Raw genomic sequence first — 9,144 nt, 5'->3', positions numbered from 1 at the left:
TCAGGTCCCTGTGAGAGTAACAGAGCATTATTATCCTCACAGAACTCAGGCAGTTGCGATAGCATCATGCAGAGGGGCAAGGCCTCAGGGCCCCACAGTAATGATCAGTTTCCTCTTTTACCCATTGCAGCCACAAGATGGCAATGTGACAATTTAAATACAATCTAGAATTCTGTTTCATATAGTTGGGAGGCTTTTAAAGACTGTGGAAAACTTAAAGCAAATAGTTTACCTGAACTGGGAATGATATTCCACAATGTATTAATGTTTGTGTGTAGTTCAGGAGATGAGTGACCTCTATAGTCAGAGTGATTCAGGCTGGGACAAAATATGATTCTACAGCCACACCTCTTGCCTTCTTGGTTTCTCGTCTAAAGTGCTCCTGTATAATGCTTGATGCAAAAGTCCGTGGATTCTGCTTTTACACAGTAATGAGAAGGTTTCAGATGATATTGACTGGCGTTAGAGGACAATGGCAGTCACTGTGGTCTTATTTTTCTTCCTGGGAGATGCAGTCAGACTGAGTAAATTCCCAGCAAGGAGTTAGCTTTTGTAGGGCAATAAATCTTATCCCTTTACAACCAAGTCATTTAACAACTCCTCCAAAGTTCATTGTTTTTCTCAGTGAGTGAATGTATGATGAGCTTTACTTTATGAAAAATGTATCATTTAGGTACTTGAATCTGTGTTGTAGAATACAGAATTGTTCATTATAGAGAAATGTTTAACTTATCTGAGGACCACACAGTGTGAAATATGCATGTATGTGTTTACTTTTTAGTAAATTTAGGGTATATTTCCTTTCTTATAACCTAGAATTTCAAAAAAATATAAAAACTAACTGCTTAATAGAAAGTTTGTGAAGATCAAGACAATAATTCATGTAAAACAGTGTAGTCCTTGGCACATAGATATCGAACATCAAATGTTAATTATTATAATATTATTATTTCTGTTGTTATGTTTGTAGTTGATGTAACATTTATGCTTTTCTATGGGAAACAGCTTGACTCTGTCACAAAGTCACAGATAAAATTTCTTACCCAATTATCTGCTTTGGAAACGTAAAGACAGTAATATGGACAGCTAATTCATGTTGATTAAAAATGGTAAGGTATATGTCTTATACAAATAATCTTGCTTAATTTTCACAATACTATGAGGCGTGTAAATATATATACGCATACGCTATATACATATTTATACTGCAATATCAATAATATGTACATTATATCTCTATATGTGAAAACAATAAGAATTTTTGTTTCCTTTGTTTAATTTCTATCTCTTTATTGATCTATTTGATGGGACGTTGTCATCATACATTTCTTTACTTTTTTAAGCATGGTTTTCTGTTTTTATGAGCATATTTACAATGGCTGCTTTGAAATCTTTGTTAAATATGACATCTAGGTCAGTTCATGGGCAGTTTCTCTTGCCTGTTGTCTTTCCTGTGAGTGGGTCACACCTTCCTGTTTCTTTGCATATCTCATAATTTTTTGTTGAAACTGGGTGTTTCAGGCAATCTATGTAGCAACAATGAATACTGATCTACCCATCTTCAGGTTTTTGTCGTTGTTGTTGTTATTATTTGTTTAATGATTTAAATGGAAGTCTAAGTGAAGAATATTCCCCCCCAGTCTACAGTCTCTGTTGTAATAACACTCAGAGGGCAGCATTGGGCATGTGCAGTCACCTTGGGATGATGGCAGTTTTGGCAAGATTCTATTGGACCCTATCTTTCCCCTAGCTCTCTCTAAATAAAGGTGTCTGCCTTGGTTGGTATCATATCCTGCTGTTGGCCTCTGCTAATTGACAGTTCACTGCTGTTTGTTTTTGACAATGCCTTGGACACAAATTGCTCCATGATCATTTGGTTTCCTTTATAGGGTTGGTTTTTGAGGACTGATATGAGTTTTTGAGATGTGTTATAAACCCAGGAGATCTCTTCTTAGGTGTCTCTTTACCTGATTCTCTCTAATAAATGTGCATCCTATAGCTCAGCCTGTTCTCTTAGAGCTACCAGCCTCCTCTTAATTGCTTTCTACCCAAATCTTCATTGTTTTGAAATCACGCTTATGTGTAAGCTTTATCATGCTCTGTTTCAAATAAAGTTAGTTCCTTTAGGGAGAGCCTTGCACTGCCTCCACACTTTAGCAAAATCTCTGAGCCACTTCTCCAGGGTTGGGGACAGAAGTGACAGCCCTGTTTTATGAGCCTAGTACTGGGCAGGGATGGTAGCCTCTAGTTTTTTTGCTTTTCTTCCCATATAGAACCTCCACTCTAGAGTGAGCTGGTGTAAAAGCATTTGGGGCCCCAGCACTTTTATCTTGCTGTTATGAATTGAATATTTTTTGCCCACCCTGCAAATTTATGCGTTGCAGTTTTAACCCCCAACATGCTGGTATTGATTATATGAGAAAGTGGAGCCTTTGAGAAGTGATCAGGTCATGAAGGTAGAGCCTTCATGAATGGAATTAGTGCTGTAAACCCAGAAAATCTGAGACAGGTTTCAGTTAATTTAGAAAGTTTATTTGCCAAGGTTGAGGATGCGCGTCTGTGACACAGACTTAGGAAGTCCTGACCACATGTGCCCAAGGTGGTTGGGGCACAGCTTGGTTTTATATATTTTAGGGAGACATGAGACATCAGTCAATCTATTTAAGAAGTACATTGGTTCCATCCAGAAAGGCAGGGGGAGGGACAACTTGAAGTAGGGAGGCAGCTTCCAGGCCACAGGTAGGTAAGAGAAAAATGTTGCATTCTCTTGAGTTTCTGATATGCTTTTCCAAATGAGGCAATCAGAATATGCATCTATCTCAGTGAACAGAGGGATGACTTTGAATAAAATGGGAGGCAGGTTTGCCCAGGGCAGTTGCCAGCTTGAGTTTTTCTTTTAGTTTAGTGATTTTGGGGGCCCAAAATATATTCCTTTCACAGTGCCTTTATAAAAGATATCCCAGAGAGCTCTCTGACCTCTTTCTGCCATGGAAAACTGAGTGAAAAGATGGTCATCTGTGAACCAAAAAGTGGTTCACTAGACACCAAACCTACTGGCTCCTTGATCTTGGACGCCAGAACCATGAGAGATCAATGTTTGTTGTTTAAGCCATCCAGTTTATGGTAGCTTTGTTACAGCAGCCCAAATGAACAAAGAAAACTACCATTCCTGGGGTAGACCTTCTGCTCTATGAGTGTGGGCTGGGTAAGTAAAGGGAGTCCTGACCTCTTAGCTGAAATAAGCAGGAATTAACCTCTGCAAATTGAAGCTGAAGTGACAAGAAATAGAAATAAGCTTTCCTTGTCTTATAGGGAGATACTATACTCCTTGACAGGGAGCTGAGGGGCCACATCAAACTTGAATTGAGCTTCTGTGACACTGAGCTGGTGTGGGGGAGACAGGGAATGCACTGTGACTCAAGTGCCACGAATTCTTGGGGTTCTTGACAGGATTTAATAGATTTTCTCAAATAAATGTTTCTTCTTTTACTGTATGTCCTTAGGAAAATTGCCAGACTTTAAGGGGTTATTTGTAAAGAATTTTAACCACTTATGATTGTTTTGCTGGGGAACATGATTGCAGAGCTCCTCAAACTGCCACTCTGGGAATGTACCACCTATAGTAAGCATTTACTGAATGCTTACAGTATTTACTGTAAGCTTACATTTACTGAATGTCATCCAGGAATAAACATTTAAGTACTATCTCATTTATTTTTTATTTTTATTTTGGAACTTTAAGTTCAGTGGTACATGTCCAGGTTTGTAATGTAGGAAAACCTGTTTCACAGGGGTTTGTTGTACTGATTATTTCATCACCCAGCCAATAAGTCTAGTACTCTTTATTTTTCCTGATCCTCTTCCTCCTCCCACCATCCACCTTCTGATAGGCCCCAGTGTCTGTTGTTCCCTTCTTTGTGTCTATGTGTTCTCATCATTTAGCCTCCACTTATAATTGAGAACATGTTGTATTTGGTTTTCTGTTCCTGCATTAGTTTACTAAGGATAATGGCTTCCAGCTCCATCCATGTTCCAGCAAAGGACATGACCTCATTCATTTTTTATGGCTGCTTAGCATTCCATGGTGTATAGGTACCACATTTTCTTTATCCAGTCTACCATTGATGAGTATTTAGGTTGGTTCCATGTCTTTGCTATTGTAAATACTGCTGCAATAAACATACACATGCATGTGTCTTATACACAGTAATGGGATTGCTGGGTTGAATGGTACTTCTGTTTTTAGCTCTTTGAGGAGTCACCGCACTGCTTTCCACAATGGTTGAACTGATTCACACCCTCACCAACAGTGTATAAGTGTTTCCTTTTCTCCACAACCTTGCCAGCATCTGTTATTTTTTGACTTTTTTTTTTTTTGAAAATTATACTTTAAGTTCTAGGGTACATGTGCACAATGTGCAGGTTTGTTACATATGTATACATGTGCCGTGTTGGTTTGCTGCACCCATTAACTCGTCATTTACATTAGGTATTTCTCATAATGCTATCCCTCCCATAGCCCCCCACCCACTGACAGGCCCCGCTGTGTGATGTTTCCCACCCTGTGTCCAAGTGTTCTCATTGTTCAATTCCTACCTATGAGTGAGAACATGCAGTATTTGGTTTTCAGTTTGCTCAGAATAGTGGTTTCCAGCTTCATCCATGTCCCTATAAAGAACATGAACTCATCCTTTTTTATGGCTGCATAGTATTCCATGGTGTATATGTGCCACATTTTCTTAATCCAGTCTATCATTGATGGACATTTGGGTTGGTTCCAAATCATTGCTATTATGAATAGTGCCACAATAAGCATACATGTGCATGTGTCTTTATAGCAGCATGATTTATAATCCTTTGGGTATATACCTAGTAATGGGATCGCTGGGTCAAATGGTATTTCTAGTTCTAGATCCTTGAGGAATTGCCACACTGTCTTCCACAATGGTTGAACTAGTTTATACTCCCACCAACAGTGTAAAAGTGTTCCTATTTCTCCACATCCTCTCCAGCACCTGTTGTTTCCTGACTTTCTAATGATAGCCATTCTAGCTGGTGTGAGATAGTATCTCATTGTGGTTTTGATTTGCATTTCTCTGATGACCAGTGATGATGAGCATTTTTTCATGTGTCTGTTGGCTGCATAAATGTCTTCTTTTGAAAAGTGTCTGTTCATATCCTTTGCCCACTTTTTGATGGGGTTGTTTGATTTTTTCTTGTAAATTTGTTTAAGTTCTTTGTAGAGTCTGGATATTAGCCCTTTGTCAGATGGGTAGATTGCAAAAATTTTCTGTCATTCTGTAGGTTGTCTGTTCACTCTGATGGTAGTTTCTTTTGCTCTGCAGAAGCTCTTTAGTTTAACTAGATCCCATTTGTTTATTTTGGCTTTTGTTGCCATTGCTTTTGGTATTTTAGTCATGAAGTCCTTGCCCATGCCTATGTCATGAATGGTATTGCCTAGGTTTTCTTCTAGGGTTTTTATGGTTTTAGGTCTAACATTTAAGTCTTTGAAGCTATTTGACTAGTGTGAAATAGTATCTCATTGTGGTTTTGATTTGCATTTCTCTAATGATTATTAAGCTTTTTTTCATATGCTTGTTGACTGCATGTATGTCTTTTGAAAAGTGTCTGTTCGTGTCCTTTGCCCACATTTTAATGGTGTTTTTTTCTTGTAAATTTGTTTAAGTTCCTTATAAATTCTGGGCATTAGACCTTTGTCAGATGCACAGTTGGCAAAATTTTTCTCCCATTCTGTAGGTTGTCAGTTGACTCTGCTGATGGTTTCTTTTGCTATGCAGAAGCTCTTAAGTTTAATTAGATCCTATTTGCCAATTTTTACTTTTGTGAAGTGCTGTGTCATTTAATCCTTACAAGTACCCTTTGCGCTGGATACTATCATTACTCTTATTTATGGATAATAATATTGAGACTCAGATTACAAAGGTTGTACAAGGTTACACAGCTAGTAAATATTGGAGCCTAAACTAAAGTCACTCTGACTTCAGAGCGCACTTAACTTGGCCATAATGAACGGCCAGCGTGGTGCTCTATAGCCAGTGTTCCTTGAGCTAAACCCTGGCTCTCACACTTACTAGGTGGGAGACCTGGGGCAAATGACTTAATTTCTTTTTGCCTCAGTTTCCCCATACATAAAACTAGTACTTTCCATGTAGTATTGTGATAAACATTGAAGGAGGAAGTATATAAAAAAGTATTATGACAGTTCTTGAAACATATATGGGCTTAATAGTTATTAGTTTTTGTTGCTTTATTTTCTGTTTTTATTTTTATAATTTCTTTCTTCCATTTACAAATAAATTATTTTGTTCAACAGAAAAACAGAGAAAAAATCCTGTCCACTGGAACTGACATACCAGTTGAGTCTCTGAATATAGTTTATACTCTATCTTTTGAAGAGGGGGAAAAAATACTTTCAATCCCCATAGCTCATAGCATTTCCTTTGGTGGATTTTGAGTTATTAGCCTTTTAATAGTTATAGCTTTTTAATATGGAGCCACTTTTACTATTAATAAAGTAATAGTACTTTTCCCTATCTTTTTCAATAAAATGGCAATTTTCTCCTTTAGAAACACTTATAATCTTTAATAAGACAACATGTACTCCCTCAGAATTTGCCTCCTGGTCATTAGGCAACAACTGAGATGAAGTCACAGCACAACCCCGCTGGGGAAATACTGGGCCTGGCGAGGGAGGAAAGAGATTGTCTTAGTTTTCTATGGTTGCTGTAACAAATTGCCATAAACTTGGTAGTTTAAAACAGAAATTTATTTTCTCATCATTCTGGAGGCTAGAGGCCCAGAATCATTATTACTGGGTCAAAACTTAGGGCTGTGCCCCATCAACAGTCACTAGGGGAATCCATTCTTTGCTTCTTTCAGCTACTAGTGACCACTGACATTCCTTGACTTGTGTCCACATCACTCCAATCTTTGCCTCCATGGTCACATTGCCTCTTCCTCTTCTGTGTGCATGAAATCTCCTTTCTTATGAGGGCACTGGTGATTACATACAGGGCCCATCCATAAAATGCAGGATAATCTCTCCATATAAAGATCTTTAATTTAATTATATCTGCAAAGACTCTTTTTCCTTAGAAGGTAACATTTATAAGTTCCAGTAATTAGGGAGCCCTAATCTGATAAGACTGGTGTTTTTATAAGAAGAGAAAGAGATACCAGACTCGCTCTTTTCGTGGCATTCACACCAAAGAAAGCCATGCAAGGGCACAGAAGCTGGAGATCTGAAAGCCAGGAGAAGAGGCTTCACCATACACCAACCTTGATTTTGGACTGCCAGTCTTCACCACTGTGAGAAAATAAATTTCTGTTGTTTAAGCCACCCAGTCTGTAGTATTCTATTATGACAGCCTGCTGTGGTATGAATATGACCCCCAAAGTTCAGGTGTTGGAAACTTAACCCCCCGTGCAACAATGTTGAGAGGTGGGAACTTTATATAAAGGGATTAGGTTATGAGGCTCTGCTCTCATGAATGGATTAATGTTGTTATCACAAGAGTGGGTTGTTTTAAAAGAGGGTTCATTCCCCTCTTTCTCTCTCTCACCATGTTATGATGCAGTAAGAAGGCCCTCACTAGATGCATGCTTTCAATCTTGGACTTCCCAGCCTTCAGAGCCAGGAGCCAATATATTTTTGTCCTTTATAAATTACCCTGTCTCAGGTATTGTGTTATACAGTACAAATTAGACTAAGACACAGCCCAAGCAGACTAATGTACTCCTGTTGCCCAATTATTACTGTAAATGATCAGTTACAGCAACTCCAGCCTAAGAATGGCATGCTGACTTGGGCCCAGTTTCGTCTGGTCTAAGAGTTCGGGTCATGCCACTAAATAGCACCTGAGACCAGCAGATGTAGTAGCTGAGAGTCAGGGGAATCTAGATTAGTGGTGGAGGAATGTGAAAAATCATTATCAATGATAGATCAATCAGCAGTCTCTATCTACTACTAACCTTCCTCTTACATATCTCCCAGGATGTGAGGCTAAATTCCTGAAGATGCAGTTCTATGAACATACATGCAGACGTGGTTCTCAGTGGTGTGAAGGGGTCTATATGGATAGGAATATGAACCACCGAGATCTCCCTTCAAGAAATAAGTTGTTGCCTCAGGTGCTGCAGCAAATAGCTTTCAGCTGTCAGCTTGTTGCGTTATTGTCTCCACTGCACAACTGTTTTCAGCTAAAAGCATGTTCTTCCAGGGTCATTTTACATCTACTGACTGATACAGGTAGGGGTGTAAAGGCCCATTTGTTTTGTTCAAAAGCAGGACAACTCTGAGGGGCCATTTTAGCTTCAGGTGATTTTTGCGGTCTGGTGAGGCTGTCAGACCTGCACTGCAGTTTGACCTTTTCCTCTGTGCACTTCTGCTTCCTTCCCTTCCCATCCACACCTGCTGAAACAACTAGTGCTCCCTTATAAACATCTTGTATTATAAACTCTATCAGCTGGGCGCAGTGGCTCATGCCTGTAATCCCAGCACTTTGGGAGGCCGAGGCGGGTGGATCACGAGGTCAGGAGATCGAGACCATCCTGGCCAACACAGTGAAACCCCGTCTCTACTAAAAAATATACAAAAAATTAGCCGGGCGTGGTGGCGGGCGCCTGTAGTCCCAGCTACTCGGAGGCTGAGGCAGGAGAATGGCGTGAACCCGGGAGGCGGAGCTTGCAGTGAGCCGAGGTGGCGCCACTGCACTCCAGCCTGGGTGACAGAGTGAGACTCTGTCTCAAATAAAGAAAAAAGAAAGATAAACTCTATCTTGGAGTCTGCTTTCCAGAGATCTCACGTTTAGCTTTCACTAAAAATTGGGGTAATCTTATTAGAATGGGGAAAATTTAAAGCCTCCAATTTTCCTTTGGGGTCCTAGGCACGAATTTTATGGCAAAATGCAAAGTCACTCTTTGTCTCCTTGAGTTTAATTTTTTTTTTAACTTTTAGCTCCCACACTCAGTATATTGTTACACTAAACAATTGCCTTTTGGTTTAGCTTTGTGTGAGTTTGTTTATAATAAAGAATCTTAAATGTACCTAACAGATGAGGAATTTATACATTAAGATATGCACCTATGTTTTATTGTAGTCTGCCCTAATAGAACCTTAGCACT

Source organism: Homo sapiens, chromosome 5 (genome assembly GCF_000001405.40).
Source record: "Homo sapiens chromosome 5, GRCh38.p14 Primary Assembly".
Taxonomy (NCBI): Eukaryota; Metazoa; Chordata; class Mammalia; order Primates; family Hominidae; genus Homo; species Homo sapiens.
This window is presented reverse-complemented; position numbering follows the sequence as displayed.